The sequence below is a fragment of the Homo sapiens genome, chromosome 8 (assembly GCF_000001405.40).
Source record: "Homo sapiens chromosome 8, GRCh38.p14 Primary Assembly".
Classification (NCBI taxonomy): Eukaryota; Metazoa; Chordata; class Mammalia; order Primates; family Hominidae; genus Homo; species Homo sapiens.
In genome coordinates this window covers 97,961,719-97,979,391 of record NC_000008.11, presented here as the reverse complement: position 1 = coordinate 97,979,391, position 17,673 = coordinate 97,961,719, and the positions used below count along the sequence as shown (strand labels likewise).

Genomic DNA, 17,673 nt, shown 5'->3' with positions numbered 1-17,673 from the left:
TTGCGTGGAGTCAGAGCTAAAGCCCACAAGCCACAAAGCTTCAATGAAAACATCTCAAGCCCTGTTAGTGCTGATGGGCACAGTCAGGCTGAGTTAGCAGGAAGTAAGTTGCTCGGATTGTCAGCATGCTCAGCAGATGCTGAAGGAACAGTCCTACACATGGTGCCTTCATCATATTCCTTGAATAGTGATGTTGAGATACAGTGGTCTATGGTCTTAAGCCAAGTCATGAAAGTCCTGACAGAGGAGGAATGGGGCAAAAGGTATTAGACCCCCATGACATAATTATATTGCTAATCTATACTTGAGAGAGTTCCATGGTCACAGTCACCACAGCAGTAACAGCAAATATTTCTCTGTGTGTGCATGTGTGTGTAACTTACTTGTGCACGTTTTTTTATCTGGGTTAAGAGCAAATCCTTCATGGCACTGGCAAAGGTAGGAGCCATCAGCATTTACACACTCATGTTCACATCCGTGGTTTTCTGAGGCACAGTAGTCCACAGCTGGAGAGAATAAAACACATTCAGAATTAGAAATGCAAACAGAGGAAAAGGGAATGGTAGGATGAGGGCAAAATGATAACAGATATTAATTAGGATTAATATTATTGCCCCCCAAAAGAGTAGGATAAACAGTTATGAACCCAAGGTCTCTGCCCCCCTCAAAAAAAATCAGGAGTCTATATCAGGCAATTCATATAGGAAGATATAGGAAGTAAACTAAAGAACATGTGAACAATTGTATTTAAAAGTTAAAGAATTGCAAATCAAAATCATCACAAGGTGCACTTACACCTAGTAAACTGGCAAAAATAAGATGAGATAAAACCCAGTGGTAGAAAGGCAGCAGCGTTATTAATGGTAGGGGCATTATAAATTGAGAAAGATCCTTTTGGAAGGCAATTTGACAATGTTCACCCTGGACGTGAAACCCAAAGAAATAGCCAGGAAAAGGGTGAAATTATATACAATAAACTATTAATAGCATTGTTTACAACAACAACAAAAAATCCTAGAAAATAAGATGAACATTGAATAAGGGTAAATGATTTAACAATGTATGAGAAAATACACTGGCTGATTTTTCATTAGTTCCACAAATGTGTTCCTGTGTTCCACAAATATTTCATTTGTTTCATTAGTTCCACAAATATGTGTTCATTACACAAATATGTGTAATGAACAAAAATGTATTCATTAGTTCCTGAGTACCTACTACGGGCCAGGTCCTGTTTTAGGTGCTAGGGATAGAACAAGTAAGAAAATAATCCAAAATTCCAGCCCCCAAGGAGCGTATATTTGGATAATGATGCTGGGAGTGGGGAGCAGATAAGAAGTAAAATAAGTAAATAGCATAGTCTATTAGGAGATAAAGAAAATTCTGGAGAAAAGCAAAACAATGAATAGGAGTAGGGTCAGTGGGGGAGTGGGTAGCAGGTGGGATGTAATAGAGGTGGTCAGGAGAGGCCTCTCTGAGAAGGTGGGTGGTTAGGAAGAGTGTTGACTAAAATACGAGCCGTGAGGATATCTGGGAGAGGGTATCTTGGGCAAAACAAACAGCAAGTGCGAAGGCCAGGAGGTGGGACTCTGCCTGGTGGGCTGGAGGATCAGCAAAGAGGCCAGGGTGGCTGGAGGAGGGAGAGAGGTGGGAGATGAGAAGGGGGCAGTCAGGAGGGACCCATGGGCCATGCAAGGACCTCAGCTTTTAGTCTGAATGAGTTGGGAGTCACTGCAGGGTTCTGGACCCATGAGTCAAGAATAGACTGACAGGGCAAATCTGAGAGTAGAAAACCAGTAAGAAAGTGACTCCAGTAATCCCAGGGAGGAAGGGTGGAGGCTTAAACCAGGATGTTGCAGGGGATGAGGGGGAGTGGTGTTCTGGAAGTTATGGGTTGAATTATGTCCCCTAAAAAGACATGTTGGAGTCCTAAACCCTGGTACCTACGAATGTGGCCTTATTTGGAAATAGGGTCTTTGCAGAAGTAACCAAGTTAAAATGTGCTTATTAGGGTGGCGTGCTCTAATTCAATATGACTGGTGTTCTTATAAGAAGAGATCTGTCCCTACGACCCAAACACTTTCCAGCAGGTCCCACCTCCAACATTGGGAATCAAATTTCTTGTCTTTTTTTTTTTTTTTTTTTTTTTTTTTTTTGAGACAGGGTCTCACTTTGTCTCCCAGGCTGGAGTGCAGTGGCACCACCTCTGCTCACTGCAGCCTCAACCTCCTGGGTTCAAGTGATCCTCCTGCCTCAGCCATCCAAGTAGCTGGGACTACAGGTGTGCGCCACCACATCTGGCTAATTTTTATATTTTTAGTAGGAACGGGGTTTCACCATGTGGGCCAGGCTGGCCTCAACCTTCTGAGCTCAAGAGATCCACTGGCCTCAGCCTCCTCCCAAAGTGCTGGGATTACAGGCATGAGCCACCGTGCCTGGCCACAGAGGTCAAATTTCAACACGAGACTTGGTGAAGCCAAACAAACCATATCCAAACCACAGCATAGCTCTAGCAAACTAATACACCTGGTAAATACTGAAGGTGGGGCTAACAGGATTCCTGTTGGATTAGAGGTGAAATGAGAAAAAGAGAGTGCACCTAGGGTCAACTCTGGGGTTGACAGAGCAAGACCCTGTCTCAAAAAAAAAAAAGTTTTTGGAAATCCCAGCTACTTGGGAGACTGAGGCAGGGCAATCATTTGAGCTCAGGAGCTTAAGACCAGTCCCTTTTCAAAAAAAAGTACTCCCTACAATGTTTTAGGATTATATTAATATCAAAAGTGTGTAAATAATAACAAGGAAATAGAATCTACAAAAGTAATACATATGTAAAATTTTAAAAAGCAAAACCATGCATGGAGAAGATAATGACATATTTAGCATAGCAATAAAAAGATGCAAAGGGACACTGAAGATTTGTAAAGGGTAATAACCTGTGTTACGTTTATTCTTTTGCTTCAAAGTTTCATTAAGTTTCAGTCTAGGCCAGGCATGGTGGCTCACGCCTGTAATCCCAGCACTTTGGGAGGCTGAGGAGGGTGGATCACCGGAGGTCAGGAGTTTGAGACCAGCCTTGCCAATATGGCGAAACCCTGTCTCTACTAAAAATACAAAAAATAGCTGGGCATGGTGGCAGGTGCCTGTAATCCCAGCTACTCGGAAGGCTGAGGCAGGGAGAACTGCTTGAACCCGGGAGCCGAGATTGCACCACTACATTCCAGCCCAGGCAACAGAGCAAGACTCTGTCTCAAAAAAAAAAAAAAGTTTCAGTCTAAATATTGTTTTTGTAACTTCAGCTCCCTAAAGAGTTCTAGTAGAACCTAGTATTTGCAGGTTTAATTCACAAGCCATTATGTTGGGGATAGGGCATTCATGTCATCTCAGGATCTCAACGTCATTGGATATCAGCTGGTTGCTAGAGTTGAGTCATAACATAAAGACTGAGCTAGCACCACATCCTTCTAATAGTTCATTTCTCATTTCTCAAGAACCAAGGGATCATCAAAAGAATCAATGGTGACACTGGGAACACTGAGATCGAGGAAGGCTAAACCCTGGCACACGGTCCAGTCTGTTTGTCACAGGAGTTGGCCATGCCAGAGCCTGCTTGGGCCCGTGTTAGCAGTCAACAATCCCCAGCTTCAACTTCCTCATGCTGGGCTTGATTCACCATGATGAAAATCTCCCAATCCTGGATATGGGTGCCTGCCATCAGTCAGCCAGTCCTATCTATGGCCACCCACTTCTTAGTATCCCCTACAAAGAGAGGAGCTGCTGATCTGACTTCCAAATTGTAGGACATTGATGGTGCTGCAACAATGAGTGGTCAGGTCTCTATACCTAAAAGTCAGAAACTCACACTCTACCTTTTCTCTTGAATGTCCTCTCTTACACCATGGGGTATAATCTGAGCCCGGCCATTTCTGTCTCTCAGAGGGATATCCCATAATTATGCTGGCCCCGTAATTTAGACTAATGTAATAATTTAGAGAGGTGTTGAAGGCTTGGCTTAGGCTTTGAATCTAAGCCACATACTCCAAACTTTCCCCTTTTCCAGAATGTTATAGAATAGAGTATCCAAATTGGCTCGGGTGTTTCAAGAAAAAAGTTGTACTAAGATGCTCTTTTAACTGATCACTCCTTAAGCAACTCCTGATCAAGCAACGCTTTCATTCCCTCTGACCATATGAATCCTGATAACCCAGGGCATGCTACACACTCAAGGCAGTTAGAACACCTGTGTTTTAAAACACCTGTACACGCCTCACATTGGCTGGGTTGTATGCTGATAAAGCAGCCTTGGTGGAACACATGGGCTCTAGGACACCTGTGTACTTTTTCCATTGACTGAGATGTATTCTTATAAACATTGGTTCTCAAAGTGTGGTCTGTGAACCAACTGCATCAACCATCGCTTGAGAACTTGTCAGTAATGCCCATTCTCAGGCTCCATCCCAGACCTACTGATCAGAAGTTCTGGGAGTGGGACCCAGGAATATGTGTTTGAGCAAGCCCTCCAGGTGATTCTGAGGCACGCTAAAACTTAAGAGCCATTGTTAGAGTCAAGGTTGCTTTTGTTTCCAAACCTGTATGTGTCATTTGTACATGTTATTGTAAGTAATTTAAATATTATAAAAACTGGGCTGGGGCTGGACGCGGTGGCTCAAGCCTGTAATCCCAGCACTTTGGGAGGCCAAGGCAGGTGGATCACAAGGTCAGGAGTTCAAGACCAGCCTGGCCAACATGGTGAAACCCCATCTGTACTAAAAATATAAAAAGTAGCTGGGCGTGGTGGCAGGCGCCTGTAATCCCAGTTACTCAGGAGACTGAAGCAGCAGAATCATTTGAATCTGGGAGGTGGAGGTTGCAGTGAGCCAAGATCGTGCCACTGCATTCCAGCCTGGGCGACAGTGTGAGACTACATCTCAAAAACAAAACAAAACAAAAAAACAAAACAAAACAAAAAGGCTCACATCTGTAATCCCAGCGCTTTGGGAGGCCAAGGTGGGTGGATCACTTGAGTCTAAGAGCTCAAGACCAGCCTGGCCAACATGGTGAAACCCCATCTCTACTAAAAATACAAAAATTAGCCAGGTATGATGGTGGGCACCTGTTGTCGCATTTACTCTGGAGGCTGAGGTGGGAGGATTGCTTGAGCCCAGGAGGTGGAGGTTGCAGTGAGCTGAGATTGTGCCACTGCACTCCAGCCTGGGCAACAAGCGAAATTCTGTCTCAAAATAAATAAATAAATAAAATAAAAACCAATAAAATATAAGCACTAAAAGAAACTGAGTTTTTAAAAATAAAAATTTTGTTGAAAGCTTTGGAAAAAATTAAAGCAATTTGCTAACCAAAATTGCTATAGAACCAGGCATGGATGAAACAAATGTAAAACATTGGGAAATTTCCCATTAAAATTTACAAGAGTTCTGCTGTTAGACTGCTTTACAGATGTCTTGAAATCCTTGTTCCAATTTAAAGAAACCAAAACTAAAAAATCATAGACAACACATTATGGGTATGGTTTATGCAAAAAAGATTTTTATATAATCCCAGCACTTTGGGAGGCCGAGGCAGGCAGACTGCTTGAGCCCAGGGGTTCGAGACCAGCCTGGGATACATAGCGAGACCCCATCTCTACAAAAAATACAAAAATTAGCTGGGCATGGTGGCATGCACCTGTGGTCCAAGCTACTCAGGAGGCTGAGGTGGGAGGATTGCTTGAGTTTGGGAGATTGAGGCTGCGGGGAACCAAGATCATGCCACTGCACTCCAATCTGGGCAACAGAATTATACCATCTCAAAAAAAAAAAAAAAAAAGATTTGTAAATATCATACTTTTTTCTTCAACTTAAAATTAGCATTTTTTAAAAGCATAAAAGTGATTTTTACTAAGTATACATTTATGTGTTTTAAATAAAAATAAAATGACTAAGGTGGGTTTGCATATATAGTTTTTTAGGATTCCCCTCTCTGAATGATGTTTTCCATTTATCAGCTAACCACAGGCCCAATTCATGAGATAAGAGAGCTTCTCTGGATCTTGACTCTCATAATGTTTTTGTTCTTTGTGTACACAGCTCTCTGGGGAACTAAGGGGGAGGATGTGATTGGCAAGGCAGGATTCACGCATTCCTGGGTCCCAAGTCTCCAGTCTGTAAAACTCCAAGGTGTCAAATCCCATCTCAATTTGAAATCCACCCACTGACACACTGCTAGGCTTCTGGAGACGGCAGATGAGGCCATCAGTGCAGTGGTTAAACATGGAAGAACCCACTGCCAGGCATGTGAATCTAACAGTTTTTTAAGGCCAAGAGAGTTCTAGGGCATTCAGCTCTAATGTTATTTGCCAAGTGGTTTGGGTTGTTTGCATAACTTTCTTGGTTGCAAAATTGTACTCATAAAAAGAGAGGTCAAGATTAGGGAGGCAGATGTATGGAGGTGACCTCTTGTATAACTCAATGATGGCTCTATTGTTCCAAGTTCTCATCTACTTCAACAAAATCTGTTCTCAGTCATTTATGCCTAAAATGTCTACATTCTTGTTTACAAATGGAAAGAGTAATTCTCCAGCTGTAGCTCTTTAGCCCTCCAGATCACAAGTGCTAAGATCCCAGAGTCAGAAGTCAGTCTTGCCACATTCATTCTCTGCCCAACATGTGAGAAATCACTCCACTGTCTCTAAGAATAAATGATACCTTGCTGCAGGTAATAAAACCCTAAAATCAATGATTTCTGTTTTATAACCTGGTCCAATTCTAACGTTTTCTCAGCAGGACTCCGTCTGCAAGGGAATGGCATTAGCAGAAATAGTATATTTTAAAGAGGAGCATTTGGAGTTTAAAGTTTGCTGATAACAAAGTAAGAAAAACCAAATTTGTCATTTAGAGAAATGGTAGAACCAATTTACTTGCTGAGCATACATTAGACACACACACACAGAGTCAGACTCACAAAACCTCTCTTCTCCAAGGCATAACTGGAATTCCAAATGCAGGATTTAAAACCCAGAGAAAATTTCTTTTCTTTTCTTTTCTTTTTTTTTTTTTTTTTGAGACAGGGTCTCATTCTGTCGCCCAGGCTCTAATGCAGTGGCATGATCACGGCTCACTGCAACCTCAGCCCTCCCAGACTCAAGCCATCCTCCCACCTCAGCCTCCCAAGTAGCTGGGACTACATGCACGTGCCACCATGCCTGGCTAATTTCTTTATATATTTTTGGTAGAGACGGTGTTGGTCCATTAGCTGGGGGTGGTGGCACATATCTCCTTGGGCTCAATCAATTCTCCCACCTCAGCCTCCTGAATAGCTGGGACTACAGGTGTGTGCTACCACCCCCAGCTAATTTTTGTTATTTTTGTAGTGACAGGTTTTCACCATGTTGACCAGGCTGGTCTCGAACTCCTGAGCTCAAGAGATCTGCCCGCCTTGGCCTCCCGAAGTGCTGGGATTACAGGCTTGAGCCACCATGCCTGGCCTGACTTTTTTTTTTTTAATAAGCAAAAATGACTTTATAATTTAAAAACCAGTCAATGGGGGAAATATTTTTTACAAAACATGAATGCATGAGATTGCAATCAACCTCAGTCAGTGCTTCAAGAAAATGTATTTCAAGTCCACTCTGTGAAAGATGAAAAGTACAAGTGGTTTTGCCCTCAAGGGTTTACAATCTGCCTGGGTAGATAAGATGCAAACAGGACCAAAGTTACCCCAAAATAAAAGACAGTTTGTAAACACCAGGTGAGTAAGTACAGCAGAAAATTCATGTTCAGAAATCTAGATAAATGGTCTTTGAAAAATAGTTTTGGATGGCAATGAACATGACTTTAGTGGCAGCTGATGAATTATAAATTCAGGGACTCCACTAAAGCAGAGGAGGTTCTTAGTCAGCAATCCACCATTGAATACGGAATAAATTCAGGACTCTCAATGGTGAAATGAGCTGTCAGGGAGTTGGAACTCTGGTGCTGGAATTGAACGTTCCACTTACTCAAATGTGTGGAAATCTATAAAAAAATGCTGAGTCCATGACTAAGAACTGAACTTTCATGCAGGTCACAGTAATAATTCAGGGATGAATCAAAGTGAAACCGGCCCAATTGTCCCACAGAACTGATGTTTATGGTTTATTTTGAATAAACATAGAAATTTACCTTTCCAGTCTTGAAACTTGAGAAAGTTACATTTGTTTTATCTGAGAACCCTTCTCAAGAACCAAACCGTCAGGACTCTCTGACAGTATCAAGGGGCTGAAACTTACCAGATCACTGCATCTGCACAATGACATGCCAGACCCCTCCCCATTTATGACTGCCTAACCAACCACCTGCTGCGTGTTGACCAACTCCTCTTCCATACTCCTCCCTAATTCCTGTTTTCCCCCATATGTTTACATTTATTCCCTGCTATATAAACCCCTAATTTTTATTTTATTTATTTTATTTTATTCTGAGGCAGGGTCTCACTCTGTCACCCAGGCTGGAATGCAGTAGTGCAATCATGGCTCACTGCAGCCTCAACCTCCCAGACTCAAGCAATCTTCCCTCCTGAGTAGCTGGGACTACAGGTGTTGGCCACCACACCCAGCTGATTTTTTTTTATTCTTTGTAGAGACAGGAGTCTTACTATGTTGTCTAGGCTGGTCTCAAACTCCTGGTCTCAAGTGATCCTCCCACCTTGGCCTCTCAAAGTGCTGGGATTACATGCATAAGCCACCACATCCAGCCTAAATCCCTAATTTTAGTCAGTCAGGGAGATGGATTTGAGACTGATCTCCCATCTTCTTGGCTATGGCACCTGACTGAAGCCTTCTTTCCTGGTAATACTTGTTGTCTCAGTGATTGGCTTTCTGTGCAACAAGCAACAGGACCTAGACTGAACCCCTAATGTTTTGGTAACAAAAGAAGTGCTTTTCATAGCAGTAGCTATGAAAGTGTTGAAACTGAAAATCTACTGCATAAATTCACTAGTAGCTGTGAGGTAGGAGGCAGGACTTGACTCCAGAGGTGGGGCTGAGACATCGGACCTGATTGAGAACTAGCTAAAACAGGGCTGGGGTGAAAGCAGCCTTCAATCAGACTTCAATCAGTATACCATGTCAATTTACTGTTGCTATGGCAACACCTGGGAGTTACCATCCCTTACTATCATTGGGCAATGACCCAACGATTACTACCCCTTCCCTAGAAATTTCTGCATAAACCTCCCCTTAACGTGCCTGCAATTGAAAGTGGGTATAAATATGACTGCAAAACTGCCTAAGCTGCTATTCTCTGCCTACAGGGTAGCCCTGCTCTGCAAGAGCAGTCATGGAGCTATAACACTGCCTCTTCAATAAAGCTGTTTTCTTCTACCTCTGGCTTGCCCTTGAATTCTTCCCTGGGCAAAGCCAAGAACCCAGGTAGGCTAAGCTCCACTTTGGGACTTGCCTGCCCTGCATCAGCTGGACATGCTTAACTTCTACCAAATTTCTTTAAATAAATAGTTTGAACCTGCTGCCCACACTTTCTTGTCACCCACTCCCTGCCTCTTGAAATCTGCCCTTTACCCATGCCCCCTTTGCCATTCTCAATGGCCTCCTGGTCACCTTTGTGCTCCTCAAGCCTAGCAAAGTCCCTGGCAGAGTTCTGAAATGTTTGCAGCGGTGAATCTGTGACTCAAGTTGATGGCTTTTTCTCTAAGTCCTGTTACCTTTGGCCATGCTGAAGCATGACATTAATATTGACCTGGCCAAGAAATTATCTTCCTATCATGTTCCATGATTCTTCTTTCTCTCCCCCAGCCTTAAGCTACTTCTTCATGAATATTTTTCCTGCCCCTACTTCCTGCTCCCTACATGTGACTGCAATCCAAGGCTCAGTCCTTCACTCTCTTCTCACTCCATACTTCACTATATACAGGAAATTACGATAATAGTAGGTGTTGTAATAATAATGCTAAGTTCTTAGAGTATATTGGGAATGTCACTCACTATCTTATTTAATCCCATAAAACCTTACAATGTATATATTACTATTCTACATTATGGGTGAGGAAAATAAGCTCAGAAATTAGACTTAAAGATATGTGCTTAGTGATACGGTCTGGATGTTTGTGCCCTCCAAATCTCACACTGAAATGTGATCCCCCGTGTTACAGGTGGACCCTGGTGGGAAGTATTGGATCACAGGGACAGATCCCCCATAAATGGCTTAGCACCACCCCTAGGTGATGAGTGAGTTCTTGCTCAGTTAGTTCACATGAGACCTGGTTGTTTAAAAGTGTGGCACCTCCCCACCTCCCAACTCTCACTCTTGTCCTTGTCATGTGACATACTTGCTCCCCCTTTGGCTTTTGCCTTGATTGTAAACTTTCTGAGGCCCTCACCAGAAGCAGAGGCCAATGCCATGCTTCTTGTACAGCCTGCAGAACTGTGAGCCAATTAAACTCTTTCTTTTTCAAATAAATTACCCAGTCTCAGGTACTCCTTTAGAGCAATGCAAGCAGCCTAACACAGAAAACCGGTACTGAGAGTGGGGTGTTGCTATTAACACACTTGAAAGTATGGAAGCAGCTTTGGAACTGGGCAATGGGCAGAGGTCAGATGAGTTTGGAGGGCTTAGAAGAAGACAGGAAGATGAGGGAAAGTTTGGAACCCCTTAGAGACTTGTTAAGTGGTTGTGACCAAAATGCTAATAGATATGGACAGTAAAGGCCAGGCTGATGAGATCTCAGATAGAAATGAAGAATTTATTGGGAACTGGAGTAAAGGTCACCAATTCTATGCCTTAGCAAAGATCTTAGCTGGGTTGTGTTCATGCCCTAGGGATCTGTGGAAGTTTGAATTTAAGAGGGATGACCTAAGGTAGCTATCTGATGGAAAAAATTTCTAAACAGCAAAGCATTCAAGCCTATGATCAGATACTGGAGCAAAGAAATAAAGTTGGAACTTATATGTAAAAGGGAAGCAGAATGTACGAGTTTGGAAAATTTGCAGCCTAGCCATGTGGCAGAGAAAGAAAAGGCATTTTCAGGACAGGAATACAAGCAGGCTGTGGAGCAACCACTTGCTAGAGAGATTAGTGTAACTAAAAGGGAGCCAAGTGCAAATATCCAAGACATGGGAAAAAGGCCTCAAAGGCATTTCAGAGATCTTCTAGGCAGCACCCACTCCCCATCAAAGGCCCAGAGGCCTAGGGGAAAAAAATGATTTGGGGGGCCAGGTCCAGGGCACTACTGCCCTGTGTAGCCTCAGCACACTGCTCCTCACATCCAGGCTGCTCCAGCTCCAGCCATGGCTCACAGGGCCACAGGTACAGCTTGGGCTGCTGCTCCAGAGAGTACAAGCCACCATAAACCTTAGTGGCTACGATGTGGTGTTAAGTCTGCAGGCACACAGAATGCAGGCATGAAAGAGGCTTGGCAGCTTCTCCCTAGACTTCAGAGTATGTCTTGGAAAGCCTGGATGTCCAGGCAGAAGCCTGCTGCAGGGGTGAAGCCTCATAGAGAGACTCTACTAGGTCAGTGCCAAAGGGAAATGTAGGGTTGGAACTCTCATACAGAGTCCCTACTGGGGCACTGCCTAGTGGAGCTGTGAGAAGGGGGCCACCACCCTCCAGACCTGAGAATGGTAGAGCCACTGGCAGTTTGCAACCTTAGCATGCAAGAGCCATGGGCACCCAACAACCTGTGAGGGCAGCCTTGGGGGCTATACCCTGCAACCACAGGGGCGGAGCCAACCAAGGCCTTGGGGGCCCACCCCTTGCACCTGTGTGCCTTGGATGCAGGACATGGAGTCAAAGGAGATTGTTTTGGAGTTTTAAAATGTAATGGCTGCCCTTCTGGGTTTCAAAGTTGTATGGTCCTATTGCCCTTTGTTTTGGCCAATTTCTCCCTTTTGAAATGAGAATATTTACCCAGTGCCTATAACACCTTGTACCTTGGAAGTAAAAACTTTTTCTTTTTTTTTTTTTAAATCTCACAGGCTCATAGGTGGAAGGAACTCATCTCCAGATGACACTTCAGACTTTGGAGTTTGAGACTTTTGAGTTAAGCCTGGAACAAGTTAAGACTTTGGGGAACTATTGCAAAGGCACGATTGTATTTTGAAATGTGAGAAGGACATGAAATATGGGGGGCCAGGAGTGGAATAATATGGTTTGGATGCTTATTGCCTCCAAATCTGATGTTGAAACGTGATTCCCAATGTTGGAGGTGGGGCTTAGTGGGAGGTATTGGATCATAGCTGTGGATCTCTCATTAATGGCTTAGTGTTATCATCTTGGTGATAAGTGATTTCTCGCTCAGTTAGTTCATGTGAGATTTGGTTGGTCTGAAAAGAGTGTGTCACCTCCCCCTACCTCTTGCTCCTGCTCTCACCATGTGACATGCCTGCTCCGCCTTCACCTTCTACCATGATTGGAAGTTTCCTGAGGCCCTCACCAGAAGCAGATGCTGGTGTCATGCTTCCTATACAGCCTGCAGAATCATGAGCCAATTAAACCTTTTCTTTTAGCTAATCTCAGGTATTCCTTTATAGCAACGCAAATGGCCTAACACACCTAGCAAGTAGCAGAGTTGGGATTTCAGCTCAGGTAGCACTGTTTTAAAGGTCTAGATGCCCTCAAAACAAACCAACTGACACATAAATATTTAAAATAGAAAATAACTGGAAGTTAAGAAATAAACTATGCTGCTTCCTGACTACAGCATTGATTCTACTCTCTCTGTCATGTTAATGCCGAGTTTTCTGCTTCCTCTTGACGTGTCCTTGTGGTGTCTAACCTGAATTCAAAATTCACCTTGTCAATGACTACTAATTATCACCCCAACATTTTTTTTTTTTTTTGAGACAAGGTCTTACTCTGTTGCCCAGGCTAGAGTGCAGCGGCACTATCATGGCTCACTATAGTCTCAACATCCTGGGCTCAAGCAATCCTCCCACCCCTCCCACCTCAGCCTCTGGAGTAGCTGGGACTTCAGGTGTGCACCACCATACCCAGCTAATTTCTTAATTTTTTTGTAGATATAGGGTCTTGCTTTGTTGCCCAGGCCTGTCTAGAACTCCTGGTCTCAAGCAATCCTCCCACCTTGGCCTCACAAAGTCCTAGGTTTACAGGCATGAGCCACCACGCTTGGCCTTATCTTTTTGAAAATCGATTCCATCACTCTTCCATCACTGTTGCCATCACTCTCACAGCCATGGAAGCTCAAGATCATGGAGTCTTTTTCAATTTTATTCATTTATTTTTTTTTTGAGACAAGGTCTTGCTGTGTCGCCCAGGCTGGAGTACAGTGGTGTGAACATGACTTTCTGCAGCCTTGAATGATCTCCTGGGCTCAAGCAATCCTCCTACCTCAGCCTCCCAAGTAGCTGTGACCACCAGCATGTGCACCAACATGCTTGGCTAATATTTTTGTTTTGTTTTTGAGACAGAGTTTTGCTCTTGTTGCCCAGGCTGGAGTGCAATGGTGCGATCTCGGCTCACTGCAACCTCTGCCTCCCAGGTTCAAGCGATTCTCCTGCCTCAGCCTCTGGAGTAGCTGGGACTACAGGTGACTGCCACCACGCCTGACTAATTTTGTATTTTTTTTTAGTAGAGATGGAGTTTCATCATGTTGGCCAGGCTGGTCACAAACTCCTGACCTCAGGTGATCTGCCTGCCTCAGCCTCCCAAAGTGCTGGGATTACAGGCATGAGCCACCACATCCAGCCATGTCCAACTAATTTTTTTATTTTTTGGTAGAGATGGGGGTCTCACTATGTTGCCCAGGTTAGTCTTGAACACCTGGGCTCAAGCAATCCTCCTACTTTGGCCTCCCAAAGTACTAGGATTATAGACATGTGCCACGGTACCTGGCCTAGAGTCACTTTTGACTTCTCCTTGTTCCCTTTATGTACAGCACCTTCTTTCATTCCTTACTGTCTCCCTCTCCTTTCCTACAGTTGCACCTCAAATCCTGGCTGGTTCCTATCCTCTCTCACCCGATAACTGCTACAATCTCCTATCTGGTCTTCCCACTTCTTGCCATCCTTCTCCTGGAATACACCCTGCAGTTCCCCATGAGGTTGAGTTTCCTAAAAATGAAGCTTTGCATTTGTCACCCAAATATAAACCCTTCGGTGGCTCTTTTTCAGAGATAAAATCTAGGCTTTACGTCTGATTTTCAAAGCCCTGAACAATCCAGTTCCTTCTGCTGTCTTCAACTTCATCTCCTACTTCATGTATACAGGAATTCTCTGCTGAACTTAACAGTTTAAGTCAAATTGGACAGCCTTAACTAGGGTGATTATGTAATTTATCATCCAAACTGGAACCCCTTTCAAAGTGAAAAGATGTGCCATCAAGAAATGAGGCCAGCTGGGTAAGAAATGGGGTCAGTCGGGCGCAGTGGCTCATGTCTATAATCCCTGCACTTTAGGAGGCCGAGGCAGGTAGACTACTTGAGCTCAGGAGTTCAATACCTGCCTGGGCAACATAGCAAGACCCCATCTCTACCAAAAATACAAAAAATTAGCCAGACGTGTGGTATGCACCTGTGGTCCCAGCAACTTGGGAGTCTGAGGTGGGAGGATCATGTGAGCCTGGGGGACAGAGGTTGCAGTGAGCCGAGGTCGCGCCACTGTACTCCAGTCTGGGTGACAGAGTGAGACCCTGTCTAAAAATAAAAAGAAATGGCATCAGGCGAGGTGGCTCACACCTGTAATCCCAACACTTTGGGAGGCCAAGGCAGGAGGATCACTTGAGCCCAGGAGATTGAGACCAGCCTAGACAATGTATGGAGACCCTGTCTCTACAAAAAATAAATTAGCTGGGCACAGTGGTGCACACACGTGGTCCCAGCTACTCAGGAGGCTGAGGTGGGAGTATCGCTTGAGCCCAGGAGGTCGAGGCTGCAAAGCTGTGATCATGGCCTGGGCAACAGAGCAAGACTCAATCTCAAAAAAAAGAAAAAAAAAAAAAAGAATTGGGCCAACAGGGCATAAACTGGGATTGTCCTGTATTAACTGGGAGGCATAATCACTCTGTTCTTAATGTTCCCTGGCCATCTACACACAGGGCACCCCAGATCAGCTACTAATGGAGTATGTCCAGAGTTCTCACCAGCCTCTCCTCTAAATTTCCTGCTCTAAGTCTGGTACCTGGAGTCTCCATCTTTGATAAGCGCCTTCTGGCCCTCAGGTTAGGCCACCTGGTTAACTTTCAGTTTGGCCTTTTCACTGTAACAGTCTCTCTCTGACCTACCAGCTCCCAGGAGCTGGCCCTGCCACTCCTAGGCCAGACTTAGCCCTAATGCTTGAAGAGCATTGCCACCTCCACAGTCACTGCCCTTCATCTCTCCCCCTGCCTTGGACATTTGTCCAATTGCCACCCTTCCTTCCACACTCAGATCTTCCAGCCTAGCCATTAGGATGTCTCTCTCTGACCTTCCGTGGCCAATATTTTCTCTATCATTTGCGTTGTACTCACCATAGCCCTATTGAGCAGCAACTAACCTTGTAGGATTTTGTCTGGAGTCCCTAAGAAAGGCTACTGGCAACAAAAGTACTGCCTGCTTAATCATCTCACTCCCAGCCTCTAACAGATCGAGTGCTTAGTGAACCGCTGTAAAGGGCATTGGGGAAAAGGTGGTAAGGCTGGTGATGCTAGGATCATCTGACGGAGGAGACCTGGGTTGCAATGGGATGCAGTCTCTCCCATTTTCCCACTCTTTGGATTGGATCCCCACTGAGAAAATGCAGACATTCTTATATGCAGTCAAGCAGCCGCAGAGAAACGCCCATCTCCGATAAACAGCACGCCAAAGCTCTCTGGCAATGACAGCATCTACCCTCCCACGCTTGTAGCTCTTCAATAAATGTCAAATCCCAAAAGTTACAGCAAAATCCTCAGAGATACAAAGGTTCTCTACTACACACGGACAAGCAGGTAATTATTTGGAAACACTCAGAGAAATGGGTTTTTCAGTGGCCTCCAGTTTCCCATGGGCCAAGGTGGGCTTCCTGCCCCATCTACTCCCTGTGACCAATGCAAGCCCTGTGTTCTACTGTCCCTCCCCTTGTCCTAATCAACCCATTACCCTCATCCTGTTTCCTGAAGCTCCTCCACCAGCCTAACTCACAATGGCTTGATTTCCTCCTGACCAAACAGCACTCAGAGTTTCTACCCATTTAACAAATAGTAGAGGGGAAAAAGCAGGTTGTAAAACAAAATAGACAGTGTGACCTCATTTTGTTAAATCTTTACAAAATGTTTTTTGTTTATTTGTTTGTTTGTTTGAGATGAGTCTCGCTCTGTCACCCAGGCTGGAGTGCAGTGGCACAATCTCAGCTCACTGCAAAATCCGCCTCCCAGGGTCAAGTGATTCTTCTTCCTCACCCTCCCAACTAGCTGAAAATACAGGGGCACACTACCAGACCCAGCTAATTTTTGTATTTTTAGTAGAGACCGGGTTTCGCCATATTGGCCAGGTTGGTCTCAAACTCCTGACCTCAAGTGATCTGCCCGCCTCAGCCTCCCATAGTGCTGGGATTACAGACGTGAGCCATCGCACCTGTCCAACAAAATGTTTTAAAGTAGATATTTATATGGAGAAAGTCTGGTAGAAAATACAATAACCTATTAATAGTGATTTTTCTCATCTGTTTAAGTTTCTCTATGAACGGGTATTACTTGCATAATAAAAATTAATGAAGCAAAAATAACCATGGGTATATATGTTGGCTTCTTTTTTGCTAGTGGTAGTGGGTGTGGAACCCTGCCACTCTATCATGGCCACCACCAGCAGATTAAGAAGAAAAACAACCCTAAGGCCCAGGAGACCAGCTGCATTTGTGGCCCTTTGATGAGAGTCAGAGGCAGAGGTTGCTTTCATTCCTATCAGTGTGTAAAAACAAACCCACGATACTCTCATCACTCACCTGCCAATTGCAGGCTACCACCTAACTTTTGTTTTGTTGTTGTTTTGTTTTGCCTTCCACATCCCTAGCTAAGAATTAAGGTGTGCTGGAAAATGCAAATTCTATGTGCAAAAATATAAGCATACCCTGTTTGTGCGAAGCAAAATAAAATAGGGTCCTGAAAACAATAGAACACGGAAGACAAAATGCAGGATTTAGCAGAAAATTTACATTCCAGTTTTGATGTCAGTCAAGTTCTTTTCCTTCTAGATTTTCTGCCTCATAAGTATTCAGTTCAGTTTATGAAACACCTACTATCCACCAGGCACTGTTTGTTGGTATAAGGAGGAATGAGACCATGTTAAGTTGCAAAGGCTTTGTAGATAAACAGGGGGGATGTCTGCAGCATCAAGCACTGCCCTTGAGCCTCATTACCTGGGCTTGTGTTTGAGGGTTTGAGGCTACTGCTAGTTTCCTCTGACCACGCCGTCTAATTACGCTGAGCCCATATGGCTGGGCTCTTTCACCTGGCAGTCACTTTGGCCTGTCACTGAGCTATAGGTGACATTAGGGAGGAAGGCTGCCCGTTGTCTTTGAGGTGTCACTCAGCAACCCACCCAAGTAAATTTCATGTATAACACCTGAGCTATATATAAGTCAGGCCATTCCAAACATATCCTCCAAAGTTGAAGAAAATCCACCCGATCCTTTTCAAGAGATGCAGTAACACACAGTTATATTTGCATGGATTATCATAAGTGTTCCTTTTACTGGAGACCCAGAATAAGAAAACG

At 44.2% G+C, this 17,673-nt stretch overlaps 1 protein-coding gene across 4 annotated transcripts in view; it reads right to left on the bottom strand.

Moving 5' to 3' along the window:
- MATN2 (matrilin 2) overlaps positions 1-17,673 on the bottom strand; it is a 167,661-nt gene that overhangs the window by 57,333 nt on the left and 92,655 nt on the right. For all 4 annotated transcript variants that reach the window (NM_002380.5, NM_030583.4, XM_005250920.3 and 1 more), the window contains exon 6: positions 384-506. In NM_002380.5, coding sequence (NP_002371.3) covers positions 384-506 — 123 coding nt within the window. The remainder of the gene's footprint in view (positions 1-383; positions 507-17,673) is intronic.